The sequence below is a fragment of the Homo sapiens genome, chromosome 3, assembly GCF_000001405.40.
Source record: "Homo sapiens chromosome 3, GRCh38.p14 Primary Assembly".
Classification (NCBI taxonomy): Eukaryota; Metazoa; Chordata; class Mammalia; order Primates; family Hominidae; genus Homo; species Homo sapiens.
Window position 1 is genome coordinate 66,380,552 of NC_000003.12, and position 18,202 is coordinate 66,398,753.

Sequence of the window (18,202 nt, forward strand, 5' to 3'; positions counted from 1 at the left end):
CTGTTAGAAGACAGTCAAAAGTTACCTTTCCCATCTAGAGATGCCATTGGCTTTTTCTTCACAGCCGTCAGCATTCTATCGTGGTTACTGGGGTAGAGCGACCCTTGGCACTCGGGGCAGGACCCAGCGGCAGTCCTGCTGCACTGGTGATGTGGAGAATGCTCTTGGTCACTCCCACCCGGCTCCGGGCCATTTGGCGCACTTGGCTGTGCGCTGTCTCTGGACACAGGCTGGGGGTGGAAGGCTTGTCCCCTGGAGTAACAGTCCACTTCGGTGTTGCAGTCACTGCATACGACCCGGCCACCGTGTTCTGAAGGACAGCGCCAAAGATGGGTTAGAGTCACTGCTGTGGGAGTCTTCGTCCCCACACAGAGGACAGGCTGCTCAGCTCCACTGTGCAAGGTGAGAACCCTGACTGCAAACACTGTATGCATGCTTCCTCTTTTCCCCAACTATGTCCCCAGAGAAAGGACTGGGCAAACACCAAGTCACTCATGAACTGTGGGGTCTTTCGTGTTTACAGTGAATTTCATAGACAATGTAGTCTTACTGCTTCACGGGGGAAAAGCCATTAGCCTTAGGTACCATGCAGTGTTGGGTCTTTTCAACAATTAGAAATAAGCCTCAAAATAGCCCTGGTGAAAAAGTGCTGACTGAAACTCTATACTTCGTTTGTGCCTTGCCCCTTATTTAAGTTGCTTATACATCTAGAAAATTCATGCTCAGGCTTACCATGGCGTAGATTTATTTAGGAGAAACTATCCTGGAATTAAGAGAGCCAGGCCTGAGCTTCCCCTGTATATACTGAATACCAAATTTGGAGACAGCTGTGGACTAGGAATGTGTCTCCCCCTTTGATGTAGTGACTAGGTCAGCCCAAATTTCCATTTCAGAAAGAAACTACTTCCAATGGGAAGCATCTCATACCCATCTTATGTGGCCCAGGTGTCCCTTCAGCTTTCTCCATCGCTTTCCACGGCTCTTTGTGATACGCAGACCCAGCACAGAGCTTTGGCTGCCTGCAGGCAACGCTGTGAGTGTCGGGCTCTGGAAAGTGGCTTGCATCTCTTGGACACACACCTGCAAGTGGATTCCAACACGATTAGAAACTCTGGGCTTGGTATTTCACAGTAAGCCTTATGAAAGGAATGAGCAAGGCCGCTAGAACAGTCATTTTTTTTAAAAAGTTCTTCAGAGCGGTGGGGCTGCTGGTCTGGCAAGCAGCGTGTTTTCTGCTACTACTTCCCAGCAGGCAGGCTGGCCTTGTGAAATGAGCAGCTGTCTCAGGGTGAGCCTCTACAGTCTCAGGCAAGTGCTCAGAGGCCCCCACCGTTGGAAGTACCTCATCCTGGTGACAGCTTTCCAGTGTAAGACTGGATCACAGAGCAGACCTGGGCACGTTCCCCATGTAAGGAATGGGTTGGCTGGGTTCATGCACCGTAATGCCCTTTCCAGCTGCTACTCCAGGCAAGCCTACTTTATCCTGCCAGGGAGATGCTAAGCCCAATCCAGTGGCTTCCTGAGGGGACAGGACTTTAAAACCTTGCAGAACTCATGAAGACTGGGTCCAAAATAGCAGCCCTTAGTCATACCGCCTTCTACTTCACCAAGTTTGCCCCATCTAATGCCAGGTACCTGCCCTGTAAAGACCTGGAGGCCACCTCCAGCACCCAGAGACACAGTCACAGCAGAGCTCTGCTTCACAGTTACTGAGGCCTTACCATTGCTCTCAATGTGCCCATTGGCCTGAGGGCCACCCTCGGTCCTGACCACGGTTTCTTGTCGGTCAGAAAGGGTCCCCTGAGAAGAGAGGTAGCTTGGAACATCTGGTGGCACGACGGTTTCATCTGCAAGGAGACAGAACAAATAGAACACCAGGGTCTCAGTGACAAGAAATGCAGACACACGTTCACTGTCAAGCTCAGAAAGGGGATCCTCCCAGTGACGACCATCAGCGCTGTGCAGAGAGATGACATGGAGTCCATGTACGCAACAGGCCCTCCCAGAGCCTGCTCAGCTTTACTCTACACCCAGCGTGAAGAGCGCAGCCAGCAGATGCCAGACGCCACAAGAAGTGGAGACCAGTGATGGAAAGCCGGGGCTCACAGAAGTACCGCACTGTTTCAGGAACAACCTACTACGTGGCAGCAGGGCCTGTGCATAGGCGGCCTCTGAGTTAGCAAGGAGAGGGAAAACTGCATGGTGCGTCAGTTACTTGTATTTGTGAGTATTCCTGTTTAAGGTTAAATTTGAGAGTATTCCTGTTTAAGGTTAAGTTCCTCAAAGTTAAAATGGAATTAGTGGGACTAAACCCTCAGGAGTTCTGAACACAGTGCAATTCTTTCAAAAGCCACTGGAACCCGGCCCAGTTCCCCAGCATCACTGCCATTCCTCCCTCCTTGAAAGTCAGCTCCGCTGGCAGGGCCTGACCTGTGTTGGTGACACTGTACTCTTCACTCTTCTTCCTGGTCTGGTAGATGATGCACACCCAGACCAGTGACGTCAGGACGATGCTGCTCACGACAGCAATGGTGAAGATGCCTACCGTGGTCCCATCCTTCCTGCAGCCTGCTGCGGGCAGGACGCTCAGCTGGCTGTGAGCTCGCTCCGTGCCCAGGGTGTTGGACATCTCACAGGTATATCGGCCCGCATCCTCTGCCACCACGTTCTGAACCACCAGGAGCTGGTTGTCAGGGGTCAAGTGGTGCCGCTCAGTGAGGCTCAGCGGGCGGTCCCCCTTGAACCAGGTGATGCGGGGCGGAGGGTTCCCCGTGGCTTTGCATTGGAGGGCCACTGTTTCTCCCACAGATACCACACGGTCTTCCAAGGGGACCACCAAGGATGGGGTCTCTACAAGAGAGCAACAGAGATCTTAGTCATTCTCAGGGCCTCCGTTGCTCTGGCTCTGCCCGGTCTTCTGGACAACGGACAATCCAACATATCAATGAGATGCATCTGAGATTCTGTCTCAGAGTGGCAAGCTTTGGAGAAGACCCTTCAACTCATTGACTGAGTCATCTCCATGCTGGGAGTGGCTTCCACAGGGACAGTGAACCTCTGCTGACAAAAGCCCCTGCTATTCCCTAACTGTCCTGTGTCAGGCCTGTGTCCTTATTCTTGACCAAGCCCACATCCATCCTGTCCAATTCTTAAAATGTTCTGTAGCTCTTGACCAAGCCCACATCCATCCTGTCCAATTCTTAAAATGTTCTGTAGCTAAACCCTATGAAGACTCTTAATTCACCAGCTATCATTTCTTTTAAAGAGATAGAAACACTTGTTTAAGAAAAATTAACTCAACTCAAAAAGCAGCCCCAAATTTCAAACAGGGTCGAAAGGCCCACAACGCATACCACCCCTGGCCACACAGAGCATTTGAGAGTCTCTCTCTCTCGCTCACACACACACACACACACACACAGTAGAGCAATAGGCAAACCTAGGACAGTCAGGGTGGCATTAGCTGAAATAGAACCGGCTGAGTTCTGAGCAGTACAGCTGTAAACCCCTGCGTCATCTATTTTCACATCAGTGATGAAAAACACGTCGTCATCCGGCATGACATGCATGCGTCGCTCACGGGCAGCGGGGAAATCCGTGCCTCCATCCTTCTGCCAGGCAATCTGAGGGTTTGGGTGACCTGTGGCAGCACATTCGAGGCGGGCCATGGTGGTGGTCCGGATGGTTATGTCGTGGGGCGTTTTGGTGAATGATGGCAACACTGGAAAACATACGTATACAGGGTCGGGTTACGGGACAGCTAGATGCAAAACCAGGAAGTCCTCTGGCAAACACCTACCTGTCACTGTGCCCAGTGCCAGTTCACTTCTTTTCTCCCAATGTCTGCCCAGGACCACTCCTGCCACCTGTGAATCAGGAACCCCCAGCTTCTCCCACCACAGTTGGAACACTTCCATCCCATCAGCCTTGCATTGTACACCCTAGGCTGGCTATAGTCCCTTCAAAGCAAAGGCTTTTACTCTACATGGCAGTGCCTATACGGGAGTTGCAGGGGGTGCCCATCCACACTAGGTAGGCCTGATGCTTGCCTGCTTTACCCACCAAGAGAGAGGCTGTGGAGATGGAATTACAGAGGGAAGGTGGGCATGCCTCCACCTTGGGAGAGCAATGGGATGGCTCATCCGTTTGGATGGGTGTTCATGGGATGAATGGGATGGCTCATCCATTTGGATGGTTGTTCACCCAGGCTGTTCCTGCCCACTGCCGTATACCCAGGCAGGAAGCATTCAGCTTGCTAGCTTGCTCAGCCTAAAGATCGATGTCCTGACAGAGTGGGACGCATCCAGCCACGTGTCAGGCACCACCAGAGTTCCTGTCAACGTCAATTTTGGGGAGAGTCTAACAAACAGCTGAGTCTTTCGGAAGCTGTGAGGACTTGGAATAAGCCAAGACAACCCCACTACAGTGTGGTAAAGAAGGTGTTTCGCTGTGATCTGTGGGGGCTTAAAGAGCAAAGCAGATCCACCATTCTGATGATTCTCAAGCCAATTCTTTTTAACTAGAGAGTTAGTAATCAGGATAACCCCATTAGGTTACTGGGGTGGGACAGTAAACTCTTCAAGCTATCTACTCCCCACCCCCCTCCTCCAAACACACAATAACACATGGTCCCCTTGACAAGCTCCAAGGCTGGTTAATGAGTAAAAACCTGTCAACTGCCAGGACACTGTGTCTTTCAGGCCAGGGCTCACACCAGCCTTGCACTCCACAGTCTCTGGAGCAGTAGCTAGCCTCTGACTCCAATGCTGTGCCATCTACTCAAAGAACAGCAGCTTCCCCAGGCTAAGGGGTATTTGGAATTTGGAAGCCAGATCTCTTGGCTTATAGAGGATAAGAACTGGACAAAACAAGGCTTAGCTCTCCACAATTTGACTTAATAACTAGTTTTTGTTTTGTTTTTGAGACAGTCTCACTTTGACACCCAGGCTGGAATGCAGTGGAGTGATCTCGGCTCACTGCAACGTCCACCTCCTGGGTTCAAGCAATTCTTGTGCCTCAGCCTCCCAAGTAGCTGGGATTACAGGCATGTGCCACCACACCTGGCTAATTTTTGTATTTTTAGTAGAGACGGGGTTTCACTATGTTGGCCACACTAGTCTCGAACTCCTGGCTTCAAGTGATCTGCCCACCTCAGTCTCCCAACTGCTGGGATTACAGGCATGAGCCACAGCACCCGGCCAATAACTAGATTTTTAAAACTCACCAAAAACAAGTAACTCATTGTGAATAACCCTTGAAATCTGCAAAACTTGCTCTGGGGCAAACCCAGGCAACAATAGGATTTAACAGTGCCCCACAGAAGCATGTGTGTGTCCTGTCTCAGTCATCTCTACATGGAAAGCTGAAAGGGCAATCAGGAGTGTGCTTTGTAGGATTCTGGTACTATAACAAAGATGGTGTTTCCATACCATTCACGGTGAGCCTGGCCTTATGTGAATAGGTGGAGCCAAAGTGGTTGGTGATGACACATTGGTAGCGGCCCTCGTGCCCGAAAGTGACCTGACGGAGGTGCAGGATGGTGGTGTACTCCATCACTTCCCCGTCCTGCGCGTGGACGTGGACAAAGTTCTCCATGTCTGCATTGGTCAGGACTTCATTGTCTTTCTTCCAGGCAAAGGTCATGGGGGAGCTGCTGCTGCTGGCTGCTGAGCATGTAAACCGGATGTCCTTGCCCACCATAGCCATGGTGGTTTCTGGCTGGGTGATGATCTGTGGCTTCAGGAAGTCATCTGGGGAGAGAAGGGTCAACTGTAAAGCGCTGGGTTCTTGGTACACAGAGGAACCAGCTGCTGTTCATGCTAACAGAAACTGACACAGACACCAAGCAGGAACCAGAGCTTGAGGTCCCTGTGCATCCTCAGCCCCACCAACCAGATGCCGTAAGAGTTGCACCATGGACATCTGACCTCATCTAATTAGAAGTCTGTGAGTACTGATCACCTTTATGATCACACTCCTTGATTAGAAATTAACCCACCACTTCTCAGTTCTCAAACCAGCCAGCCGGCAGTTTCCTTAAGACAACTGGCTCTGCCTGCTGACTTTCACACAAAACAGTCAGGCACCACTGGTCATGACTGCAGAGATCTTACCCACAAACCTTACTCCAAAAGGAGGGGGTGTAAAACACTTCCAAAATGTCAGAATAAGGACCTCCAAAAATCTGCACCTCCATTAAAACAAGGAAAACACCTGGAAAAATGGTCAAAAGCAACTTTTTCAGAATTCTGGAAAACCAAAGGCTTACAACAATCCATGGATTGTTGATTCAAGCAAATAGCAACATCTCAGAAATGTGAGCTTTGTGGTATTTTAACTTATCCAAAGCCCCATTCTTCCCTCCCCAGCTCCATGGTAGCCTTGAAACCCAGCAGCCTAGCAACCACTCAAGGGTCAGAATGGGCTCCCCAAAAGCCCCATCCTCAGAACTGACACCATGTGGCCTATCTGGCAGCAACACGGAAAGCCCCATTCACAGGATTTGCATTGATTTGCCCTGATCTAGTTTGCCGAGCAGGAGAAGCCCTAGCCCCAGGGCACATGACTACAACAATCAGTAGCCACTGTTCAACAGCGCAGCTGTCTGAGGGGACAATACCCATGGGGCAAACAAGCAGCTGGCCAAAAAACTATAAAGGAAAATGTGGGGAATACAGTGTTAATGGTGGGCTTTGAAAAGGTCCAATACATTCCTGGGGATCTAGACAGCCACATGCAGGTGCAAGGCCATGTGCACACCCAGGAAAGACGTGAGGGGGTCCTCATTTGTCACCTGTGGCTGAGCATGACTGTCTACACAAATAGGAAGTGATGGCACACCCCAACACAAACACACAAGCCGTCGGTAAAGGATAGGAGACAGTGGTTGTGGTGACTTCTCTGTCCAACCATTAGCTAACCACTAAACTAAACAAGCAGGGACTTAAGGGGACGGACTTTATATAGCCTTTGTCCAGGAAAAGTCACTAGGCAAGCTGTAACAATAAACAGCAACAGCAGCAAATCCTGGGGGAGGAGAAAGGGAATATCCAATTTCCAGAGTTGCCACATTATTTTATTTTAAATGCCCAATTTTCAACAAAATATTATGAAACACTCAAACAGGAAAAAAAGCAGTCAACAGAAACTGTCTCTGAGGGAGCCCAGACTTAGATTCACTAAATAAACTTTTTAAATCGGCAATTATAGGCATATTCAAACACCTCAAGGAAACCATGTCTTAAAAAAAATATCGAAGGATAGTGGCCAGGTGGGGTGGCTCACGCCTATAATCCCAGCACTTTGGGAGGCTGAGGCAGGAGGATCATGAGGTCAGGAGATCAAGACCATCCTGGCTAACATGGGGAAACCCTGTCTCTACTAAAAATACAAAAAAAAAAAAAAAATTAGCCGGGTGTGGTGGCAGGTGCCTGTAGTCCCAGCTACTAGGGAGGCCGAGGCAGGAGAATGGCATGAACCCAGGAGGCGGAGCTTGCAGTGAGCCAAGATCACGCCACTGCCCTCCAGCCTGGGTGACAGAGCAAGACTCTGTCTCAAAAAAAAAAAAAAAAAAAAAAAAAAGGATAAAGTATGAGAAAATTTTATAGCAATAAAGAGAAATTATAGATATGAACCAAGTAGAAATTTTGAAACTTAGAAGTACAATAACTGAAATGAAAAATTCACTAGAGGGGCTTGACAGCAGAACTGAGCTGGCAGAAGGAGGGGGCAGGGAACTTGAGACAGTCAACTGAGATTATGTAGTCTGAGAAACAAAGAAAAAAGAATGAGGTAAAATGAAAAGAACCACAGAGACTTGTGGGACAGCATCAAGCACAACAACATACAAATCATGGGAGTCCAAGAAGGAGAAGAAAGAAAAAGGAAGAGAAAAAGTATCTGCAAAACAATGGCCCCAAATTTGATGAAAAATGTGCAGCCACACATCCAAGAATCTTAATGAACTCCAAGTAGAGTAAATTCAAAGATCCAAACGCAGATTCATCATAGTCAAGCTGTCAGGTGCCAAAGACAAAGAATCTTGAAAACGCAAAAGAGGAGCAACTCATCACATTCAAGGGATCTTCATTATTATTAACGGCTGATTTCTTACCAGAACCCACAGAGAACAGAAGGCAGTAGGAAGATATTCAAATTACTGAAAGAAAAACGTTCAACTATGAATTCTATGTATTAAAAAACCTATCCTTCAAAAATGAAGGGGAAATTAAAACATTCCGATGTTTTTATTTTAAACACACACAGAGCAAGTTGACTGTTATCAGGCCTGCCCCACAAGAAATCCAGGAGAGTATTTAGTATGGCTGAAATGAAAGGACATCATATAGCAACTCCAATCCACACCAAGAAATAAAAAATCCCATTAAAGGTAACTACACAGGTAATACAACACACAGGATACGTGTATTTTTGTAACTCGCGTCTCCTGATTTAAAAGACAACTACATAAACCAGTAATTATAAGGCTGTGTTGATGGGCTTAATGAAAATGTAATGTGTACGACAACAGTAACACAAAGGAATAAAACTGGATCTTAATAGGAACATAATTTTTGCATATTACTGAAGTTAATTTCATTATTTATTTGAACTAGATTGTTGTAAGATGTTAATTTTAATTCCTATGGGCAAAACTAAGAAAATAACTAAAAAATACCCGTGTATTTAAAAAACAGGGAATTAAAATAGTACAACAGAAAATATCTTTTCAATAAAAAAACTAGTCAGTATTGGAAAAACAATGAAACAAAAAGATAGGACACATAGAAGAAATAAGGGGCAAACTCTACCTTATTAGTAAATGCATTAAAGGAAAATGAATTAAACACTCCAATCAAAAGGCAAAGATTACCATAATGGATAAAAAAAACTATGATCCAGCTATAGCCTACAAGAGACACAGTGTGGATTCAAAGATACAAATAAGCAGTCACCAAAAGAGAACTAAAGTGTCCATACTACTAACAGACAAAATAGGCTTTAAGACAGGAGTTTTTACTACAGAGACAGAATAATATTTTATAATGTAAAAGGGTCAATGCATCAGAAACACGTAAAAATGATAAATACATATATACCTAATGGAGCGCCACAAAACATAAAATCTGACCAGATTAAAGGAAGAAATAGTGCAACAATAATAGTTTGTACACTTCAATACCCCACTTTCAACAACGGATAGAACTAGTCAGAAGATCAAGGAAACAGAAGACTTCAACAACACTATGAGGGGACTTCAAAAAGTTCATGGAAAACCGAATTATAAACTTTATTTCTCAACATAACCTCCATCAAGTTTGAAACTCTCCTGAGTGATGATACCAGCCATTTAGTCCATCCCTAAAGAACTGAGGGTCCTGGGACATATCAATGCAGTCTTTTTTACATTATTAATTGAAGAAAATTGGGTGCCCTTTAAAGATTTTTAAAGATAATAACTAAAAAGAAGTCAGATGGAGCCAAATTAGGACTTTTAGGTGGATGTCTCATGATTTCCCACCAAAACTCTCACAAATTCACTCTTCTTTGTATTAGAGCTTCTAGCCAGTGCAACAGGCTAGAGAAAGAAATGAAAGCCACCCAGACTGGAAATGAAGAAGTGAAACTACCTTTTTGCAAATGACATGATGATCACATATAAAGAAAATCCTAAGAAATTTACTGAAAAACTTAGAATAAATGATGTCAACATATATGCAGGATACAAGATCAAGATACAAAATTCAATTACATTTCTGTATACTTGCAATAAATATTTCATTTTTGAAAATCCAAAAGTGAAATTAAGGATTTCATTTACAATAGCAAAAAGAATAAAAACAGAAATACCTTTAACAGTAGTTGAAGATGTGTACACTGAAAGTGACAAAACATGACTGAAAGAAATTTTTAAGAAGCTAAGAAAAAAGGGTGGACAGCCCATCTTCATGGATTGGGAAGACTTAATACTGTTAAGATGGCAATACTTCTCACATTAGTCTATAGATTCAATGCAACCCACATCCCACTTTCCTTTACTGCAGAAATTGACAAGCTGATCCAAAAAATTGTAAGGAAATGGCAAGGGATCCATAATAGACAAAACAATTTTGAAAAAGAATAAAATCAAAGGGCTTTGTAACACTAAGGTTATAAAACTCTTAGAAGAAAATAAAGGAGGAAATCTTTGTGACCTTATCTCAGGCAAATAGTTTCTTTGATATGACATCAAAAGCATACGTAATAAAAGAAAAAATAGAGATATTGAACTTCACCAAAATTAAAAACTTTTGCATTTCAACTATCAAGAAAATGAAAAATAGCCCTCCCTCAGACTGGGAGAAAATATTGGCACAACATGTATCTTATGAAGGTCTCATATCCAGAATACATAAAGAACTTTACAACTAAACATTGAAAAGACAAATGAATACTGGCAAATGATTTAAATAGCTGTTTTTCCAAAGAAGATATATATATATATGTATGTCCAATAAGCAGGTGAAAACATGCCTAACATCATTAATCATTAGGGAAGTGCAAATCAAAACCACCATGAGACTCTATTTTACACTCACGAGTACATCCAAAATAAAAAAGACAGTTAATAACACATGCTAGCAAAAATGGGGAGAAATTGGAATTCTCATGCATTGGTGATGGGCATGTAAAATCATGAAGCCACTCTGGAAAACAGTTTGGCAGTCCCTCAAAAAAGCTGAGCACAGAGTTAGCGTATGACCCAGCAATTCCATTCCTAGGTTTGTACCCAAGAGAATCACACAAAACCCTGTATATGAATTTTCACAGCAGCATTATTCATAATAGCCAAAAAGTGGGGACAATCTAATGTCCATCATCTGATAAACGGATAAATAAAATGTAAACCCATTTATTCAGCCATGAAAAACAGGAATGAAGTACTGATACATGCTTAAAAATTATGCTAAGTGAGAAAAGCCAGTTACAAGAGACCGTATACTGTATGGTTCCATTTATATTAAATGCCCAGAATAGGCAAATGATGGAGACACAATGAGATTAGTGCTATCAAGGGCCTGGGGGCAGAGAATAGGGAGTGATTACTAATGGTATGGGGATCCTTCTAGTGGTGATAAAAATGTTCTAAAATTAGATAATAGTGATGGTTACACAGTTGTGACTATTATAACAACCATCAATTTATATATTTTAAAGGGGTAAATTTTTATGATATATAAATTATATTTCTTTTTAAAAGCAGCTTTATTGAGAATACTTCATCTACACTACAACTCACTCATCTAAAGTATACAATTCAATGGTTTTTAGTATACTCACCAATATGGGCAACCATCACTACAGTCAATTTTACAACATTTTCATCACTTCAAAAAGAAATGCTGTACATTTTAGCTATTACCCCTCTCTTTCCATCCCTCCCCATCCTTAAACTACTACTAACCTAATCTCTACCTCCACAGATTTCCCCATTCTGGACATTTCTATGAATGGAATCATATAATCTAATGGTCTTTTGTGGCTGACTTCTTCCACTTAGCATGACATTGTCAAAGTTCATTCATGTTGCAGGACTACTGATTGCTTTCACAGCCTAATGAATATTCCATTGTATGGCTATACCACCTTTTGTTTATCCAGTCATCCACTGATACCTGGGTTGTGCCCATATTTTGGCCATTATGAATAATGCTGCTATGAACATTCATGAAGAAGTTTCTGTGTGAACATATACATTCATTTCTCTTAGGTATACACCCAAGAGTGGAACTGCCAGGTCATGTCGTAACTGGATGTTGAACTGAGGAACTGCCGAGACTGTTTTCCAAAGTGGCTGCCCCAGTTTACACTCCCACCAGCAGTGTAGGAGGGTTCTCCCTATCCTCAGCAACACTTGTTATTATCTGAGTTTTGGATTCTAGCTGTCCTAGTGGATGTGGAGTGCTTATGTTTCCGTTTTTAAAAAAGGAGTGGGAGACTCCCATAAAGCCTGAAACCTTGATCTTCTGCCAAGTGTTTTCATGATTCCCATTAACACCTGACGTTTTTAGAGGGGGGGAAGCTTGAGCTAAAATGTGGGGGTGGGGATGACAGATGTGAAATAAACAACTCTTGCAATCCAGAATATGCCAGGGCCACAGGCTGGGGGCTAGGTGAACTTACCAAAGTCCTACCTGGCTCACCCAGAGGGAAAGCCTGCCCTATGGCAGGAAAGGGGAGGGAGCGATGGAAAGCTTTATTTGAGGGAGGTCTATAAACAATTTAAGGGTCAAGGACTTGATGACAATGGGCCAATGAACAATGGATTATACAGCCATTTTGTGCCTGGATAATGGAGCTGTGCGAGCATTAGATTCCACACAGAAGGCTCCATAAGACAGATCGGTATGAAAAGTCAGTTTGGAGAGCTGCTGCCATGTTCGCAGTGGGTTTAAGACGTGTCCCTGGTCTGGATCCAGAGGAAGTTCAGCAGGCCTGTTCTCAAAAGTGGTGATGGTGAAGGTAGGGGTGGATGCATGGAGAGGGCACACACATCTTGCCTCCAGCAGGCACACTGGCTACTCCAGCAGGCACAATGGCTATTGCTATGGCCAGAAAGTAGGAGACAGAAGTGGCCCACAAGGGTTGCCATATGGATGGGTGAGTTCCTGGTTAGGATCCTCACAGCAGGGATCTCAAGGCTCAAGGGAGACCAGTGAGCACAAAAGGCAGGAGGGACTTAACACCTGCCCAGCAGTTCCAGTCAGGCCTGGGAATCCCACTCTTGCTCCTGCTTAGAGCAAGCAAACAGGAAAAACTCAAAATTCATCTCATTTTTTGACCATGTCTTCCTGACCGTGAGCCTGTGTCAGTCCTGTCTGAGCTAGCCTGCGTGTGTGTTTTCAGCTGTTCAGCATTTTCTGTGCTCTCTGCAACCAAACTTGGATCCCGACTCCCAGTCAAAAAGATGGCAAGAGCTACGCTCCAGGAATCAGAAGGCAAAAAGAATGTAAAGCTGCAAGTGCAGATTTCAGTGGTTTGGAGAAACAGCAAGAGTACAAGTCAACATCAAGGAATTATTTTTACTACAGCAACTGTTCTCCTGAGACTTGTTCTTCCTGTATTTAACCTTTCATTCTTGGGGTCGGAAAGAAACACACATTAAAACGCCAGCCTCGTACGCGGAGTACATTCGCAGCTAAACCCGGGCACCAGAGCCCTTCTGAAACAACAGAACTATCTTCCTGTAACTGATTATTCTGATTTGTAACTGAACCAACTTATACTCCCTTCTGATTAAATGCATGTCCTCCAAGAACCACATAATGAGGCAACTCTACGGTAAATACTGTGTGTGGTTTCAGCAAGAAATAAATTGCATCCAGCAGCTGATCTGTAACCACGGGCTGGGGTTTACTCTGATCACAGGAATTACTCCCATAATGAAGAGTACCTCCTGGCTTCCTTGTCCTTCATGAAGGAGAGAAAAAGTTACAAAGACAGTCTTACCGCACACGAAACTCTCTGGTGGCACAGAGAAAATGCTCTGACCCTTCAGTGATTCTGGGTGGGCACAGGTGGCTGTCACAAAGGCCTGCAGCATCCTGCCAATTAGCCACGGGGGCAGCCACTTCAGCTGGCAGTCACACAGGAAGCTGTCGCTGCTGATATGGCTGAAAGAAACACAACAGTGGATGCTTCAGGTGCAGCCGCAAAGGAGGGACACTCCCTTCACACACACAATGATCAGTCGCCTCCAATCAGCTTCTCAAGTGAACATCAGCAAGCTGGAAGGGGGAAATGGTTTTTCTCACACTTCCTCTCCAATTTCCCAGGGCAGTGCATATAACCCACCTGGAGATTTTGAAAAAATGCAGTTGCTGATTGGGTGGGTCAGGAGTGGAACCCACGACTCTGCTAACAAGTTCACGTATCATGCTGGGGCTGCTGACCCAAGGACCGCAACTGGAGCAGCAGCAACGTGGAGCTTATCCATGCCATGTTCTGGGACAGACACTGTTCCTGTGTGACCCTGGGCTGCCTTCTGACCTCTCCTGACCTCTGATACATCCAACAGTGCTATGCTGCCACCATCCCCCCTCTGGTTTTTCCCACTTTCCTGATAAACTACTTGGAGCTTCCAAACTCGGCCTGAGACTTTGATCCAAATTCTGCAACAAGTTCCGAGGAGGGCTCTTTTGCCTCATGGCTGTTCCTTTTCCATTTGGCAAAGCTGCATGTTTTCTTACTTCCAAATGTAATAAGCCCCGTCACTGTGCCACCCTCTTGTTTGTGCCTTGATCTTTGCACCAGTATTCTTCAGGGGGCCGGCAGAATTCGGCTCTGCTCCCTAAATAGTGCTTGTTAGTTAATTGCCACTGCCCAGGGAGCATGAGAATGCACAACTTTAGCTTTGTGGGGCTCCAACCAAAACAGAGAATATTTTCTTTTTCATTTCTCAGCAACTAAGGATAAGCTTTTTAAACAGAAATCGGAATCGCCATCTCAGCGGACATTCCTTCCTGAGGAGTCACTTGAAGATAAGTCAACCAAGAGTCTAGCTGCCTTGTTCCTGGAAGACCTCAGAGCTGTGAGCTAAAGAATGATGGCTGGCCCACGATAAGGGAAGACTGGGAAAGAGAGCACACAGGCTTCCCTGCAATACACTGTCTCTGGTACATGGTGACAAACAGGAGGCACAGGTATGCGCAGAAATTCCAAAAACATCATGCAGGCCAAGAGCACGACTTTGGCTGCCTTCTCCACCCACCACTGTCCTCAGACATCAACAAAGCAACCAAATGGACTGGCCTTCCATTTTCTTCTGTTTCTCTCCAGATTTCTAATGAGCAGAGAAACTGTCACAGCAAGGAAGAATGAAGTGTAAGCAGATGACCCAAGGCTAAATTAAGTAAAATCCACTCTTCCTCATGTTCCCCATCACCCCTAGATGAGTTGGGCATCTTATTAAAATAATTATAATTTTGGAAAGTGCTTTTCCAAAAACAGAAATAACTTATCTCAAGGCCATTATAACTGGGATGCTGGCCCATATTAGATCTTAAAATCAGCATGAGAGTTTGCATTTTTATTTCACGGGCAGGTAGCGTTCTGCTGAGAGCCATCTGGAGGGCTGTCCTACTGTGGAGTCACTGCAGGTGGCGGAAGGGCTGTAACGGCCATCCCTGAGGAAATGGTCAATTCCCATGCAGTGTTTGGGGAGGGCAGCTCCCAGGAGTGCACCCTGCATGGGGGTCAGGGCTGGCTGCGCCAGGCATGGGGGGAACTCAGCCTGGATGGAGAACTCTCCGCTGTCAGAAGCACCTCCAGCTCCCCAGCAAGAGGGCACTTCCGTGCAGTCAGGCAGAACAGCCTGGGCACTGTTCACGAAAGCCTAGGAGAGAAGGCTGGGCCATCCCTGTGCGACGTTAAGCATTTGTGCAGGACACAAGGACATATTCCATTTGAACCACAGGAACAAACGGGAAAACAAATTTGACATTTATCTTTGATCAGACACATGTAGAAAGGGCTAAGCCTCATCCTACACACGCCCTGGACGTGTGGGGCTAACGCCTTTGAGGATTTCCTACTTCTTCCACCATGAAACCCACCTCAGACAGGAGGCCAGACTCCAGGAAGACAGTGGGTACTCAGGGTGGAGACAGCATGTTCCTAAACAGCAAGTTAGGACTGAGAGGATACATGGGGAGGGCCTGGGGCCAGGCAGTAGCGAGGATTCCAACCCCTAGGCTCTGCAGGCTCCTGCCGCCCTTCTTCCACCCGTGGAGAGCACAGCGCCATCGGCTCTACTGCCTTCTGCTGCCATCCCAGGGCTTTGCTGGCTCACATGGTGCATTTTCACGATTCCAACTCAAAGTGTGTTTCTAATCATCACTTGTGGAAATTTACCCAGAGGATGACTAAGTGCACAGTACAACCTGACTTGATCTGATGGAGAAAAAGACGACCAAGTGGAATTAACCATTTCTCTCATCTGAGGACTGGGCACAGGGCCGGCTCCAGCGAGGTATATGCAGCAACGATGGGAAACCCAGGCAGGAGACCGAGGCTGAGCCTCCAGAACCATGCAGAAGCACGCTGGAGGTCCAAGCTTCTGGAAGGGTCCAGTTCCTCCCAACTTCCCAAGGAAAATCTTATCCTCCTCCCTCCTTCTCTCAAAATACCTTCTTCCCGTTTAAATTGAATCAGGTATTTTTCAGTCCTGACATCATATCTGAAAGTTTCAAAGACAGAAAAGGTGAAAGAATTCCACAGTGAATGCTCCTGTGCCCCACCGCTTGTCTTCTACAACCAATGTTTCATTCCACTTGCTTTACTGCGAGTCCACCTCTGAGTCCAGCCTTCCCTTCCACGGTGGTCTGGAATCATCTCCTCCCCTGCTCTGGAAGGAGAGCCATGGAATCCTTTCTGTATGTTCCGTCTCACCCGACAGATGGAGGCAGAGCTGCTGAGGCTGGAAGAGGGAAGGCCCTGGGCACGGAGCAGCTGTCTGCAGAGCCCTGAGCTCCATGAACCCGTCACAGACACCCGCTCCAAGATCCAACCCTTGCAAGGACGGTATCTATTCAGCAGGCCTGAGGCTCACAGCATGCTGAACATCACAGGGCAAGTGCCCAGGCCACCTTCCCTCCTCACTCAGTCTGGTGTCACCCGGCCCGCTTCAGTTCCCAGCTATGGGGAATGCACCTCATTTCCCCAGTCCCAGCCTCCCTGCCCCAACTGAGGGTTCATCAAGAGTGGCCTCGGGGAATGGGGATGAGGTCAGGGCACAAAGATGACTGTCCTGTGGCATCTGCCATTCTGTCAGCACTTCTAGGAACCAAAAGTTACCCCTTCAGGGAACTGATATCATGGCTAGAACTTACTGGCTGTAGAATCAGATTCATGTCTAGCTAAAAAAAAAAAAAAAAAACCAGAAAGGAAAACTTGGGTGTTACACCTGAGGACCCAGACTAGCTCCCCTGCCAGAGTAGGATACAGGGAAGCTTTTCCAACCTTGTCACCCAAGAGCCCACAGTCCAAGTCCACAGTGGCAGCACCACCACCTGTGAACCGTGCCCAGAAAGCTTGGAAATGGTATGGGCAGACACCACTGCACCCCTAAGCATCCCATCCCCTCCAGAGCTCTGCCTTGCTCACAGCCCACCAGGCTCTGAAGTAGACCCTCTCAACACAGGCCTTTATCGTAAGCAAGCCCAAAAGATGAAAACTTGGCCCTGACATAATTGAAGGGGTGATTATCCACTTTATAGAGGAGAGTATATTTCACATTGCCTAGAATAGTGGTTAGCAAGCTTCAGCCTGCGGCCCGACTGCCTGCTTCTGTCAATGTGACTTTATGGGCACATAGCCACACCCACCTGCTTATGTAATGTCTATGGCTGCTTTCTGCTGCAATGATGCAATCAAGTAGTCATGACAGAGACTCTGTGGCCCACAAAATCCAAAATATGTACCATGTGAACTTTTAACAAGTGAGCATAATGCAATTGCAGAAGTTTCTTACTCTGAAAGTCTCCACTACCATTAATCAGACCCAGGGAATCCAGATACTTACAGCTCTTTAAGATTCTTCATCTTCACAAAGGCATCAAACTGGACAGATCTGATCGCATTCCCTCCAAGGTTCCTGAAACAGAACATACATTACTTATGCAAAGAAACCCTAGGTACACCTGAGGGGTTTTCAGGACAGTCCTGGTTTCACAGATGACCCACAGGGACTAGCCAGACCTGTGTCCTAACTACTATAAGTGGCTGTTGTTTCCCAAATCGCAACACAAGCCCATGGAATGACTCAGGAGCCAAGCCAGCCTTAGGGCACCATCAAAGCTGGGCTGAGGCCTGCTCAGCAAGGCAAAACCTTTCCCAACAGAGTTAGAGTCAAACTTGATTCAAAGAGGAAACAAACTAAGAATCACATACATGAGGCATCCTCCCCAGATGGCAACAGCATGACTGTCTCGGGTGGCTCTGTTCCCTTCCTCCCAGGGTCTCAGAAGCAACCACACCAAACTGGTTCAGCCCAGCACCTACTCTGCATTGTTAAGCTGCTTTAATGGAGGCAACAGGCTTGGCCAGGAGGAAGCGCGTTGGTGGAAGAGGCAATGAGGCCAGGGGTCCATGAAGGAGCCAGTGCAGGGGTTAGGCTGCGCAGCAGGAGGGGGGAGGGTATTTATCCAAATACCAACTGAATTAA

The 18,202-nt window shown here is 46.2% G+C and overlaps 1 protein-coding gene across 10 annotated transcripts in view, besides 7 other annotated features; it reads right to left on the reverse strand.

Moving 5' to 3' along the window:
- LRIG1 (leucine rich repeats and immunoglobulin like domains 1) overlaps positions 1 to 18,202 on the reverse strand; it is a 122,325-nt gene that overhangs the window by 1,755 nt on the left and 102,368 nt on the right. For all 10 annotated transcript variants that reach the window (NM_001377345.1, XM_047447939.1, NM_001377344.1 and 7 more), the window contains 8 exons: positions 17,561 to 17,632; positions 13,489 to 13,652; positions 5,430 to 5,750; positions 3,440 to 3,721; positions 2,431 to 2,850; positions 1,722 to 1,847; positions 928 to 1,080; positions 26 to 310 (listed from right to left, as the gene is read on the reverse strand). In NM_001377345.1, coding sequence (NP_001364274.1) covers positions 26 to 310; positions 928 to 1,080; positions 1,722 to 1,847; positions 2,431 to 2,850; positions 3,440 to 3,721; positions 5,430 to 5,750; positions 13,489 to 13,652; positions 17,561 to 17,632 — 1,823 coding nt within the window. The remainder of the gene's footprint in view (positions 1 to 25; positions 311 to 927; positions 1,081 to 1,721; positions 1,848 to 2,430; positions 2,851 to 3,439; positions 3,722 to 5,429; positions 5,751 to 13,488; positions 13,653 to 17,560; positions 17,633 to 18,202) is intronic.
- Positions 2,144 to 2,645: an enhancer, noted in NCBI's record as "H3K4me1 hESC enhancer chr3:66433119-66433620 (GRCh37/hg19 assembly coordinates)". NCBI's record gives its function as "activates a minimal SCP1, AML or CMV promoter by ChIP-STARR-seq in naive and primed H9 embryonic stem cells {active_cell/tissue: H9 hESC(naive and primed)}" and the evidence as "EXISTENCE:reporter gene assay evidence [ECO:0000049][PMID:30033119]".
- Positions 2,646 to 3,145: an enhancer, noted in NCBI's record as "H3K4me1 hESC enhancer chr3:66433621-66434120 (GRCh37/hg19 assembly coordinates)". NCBI's record gives its function as "activates a minimal SCP1, AML or CMV promoter by ChIP-STARR-seq in naive and primed H9 embryonic stem cells {active_cell/tissue: H9 hESC(naive and primed)}" and the evidence as "EXISTENCE:reporter gene assay evidence [ECO:0000049][PMID:30033119]".
- Positions 5,592 to 5,691: an enhancer, noted in NCBI's record as "active region_20039". NCBI's record gives its function as "activates an Ori minimal core promoter by ATAC-STARR-seq in GM12878 lymphoblastoid cells {active_cell/tissue: GM12878}" and the evidence as "EXISTENCE:reporter gene assay evidence [ECO:0000049][PMID:35858748]".
- Positions 6,152 to 6,321: an enhancer, noted in NCBI's record as "active region_20040". NCBI's record gives its function as "activates an Ori minimal core promoter by ATAC-STARR-seq in GM12878 lymphoblastoid cells {active_cell/tissue: GM12878}" and the evidence as "EXISTENCE:reporter gene assay evidence [ECO:0000049][PMID:35858748]".
- Positions 6,332 to 6,411: an enhancer, noted in NCBI's record as "active region_20041". NCBI's record gives its function as "activates an Ori minimal core promoter by ATAC-STARR-seq in GM12878 lymphoblastoid cells {active_cell/tissue: GM12878}" and the evidence as "EXISTENCE:reporter gene assay evidence [ECO:0000049][PMID:35858748]".
- Positions 6,442 to 6,501: an enhancer, noted in NCBI's record as "active region_20042". NCBI's record gives its function as "activates an Ori minimal core promoter by ATAC-STARR-seq in GM12878 lymphoblastoid cells {active_cell/tissue: GM12878}" and the evidence as "EXISTENCE:reporter gene assay evidence [ECO:0000049][PMID:35858748]".
- Positions 13,057 to 13,106: an enhancer, noted in NCBI's record as "active region_20043". NCBI's record gives its function as "activates an Ori minimal core promoter by ATAC-STARR-seq in GM12878 lymphoblastoid cells {active_cell/tissue: GM12878}" and the evidence as "EXISTENCE:reporter gene assay evidence [ECO:0000049][PMID:35858748]".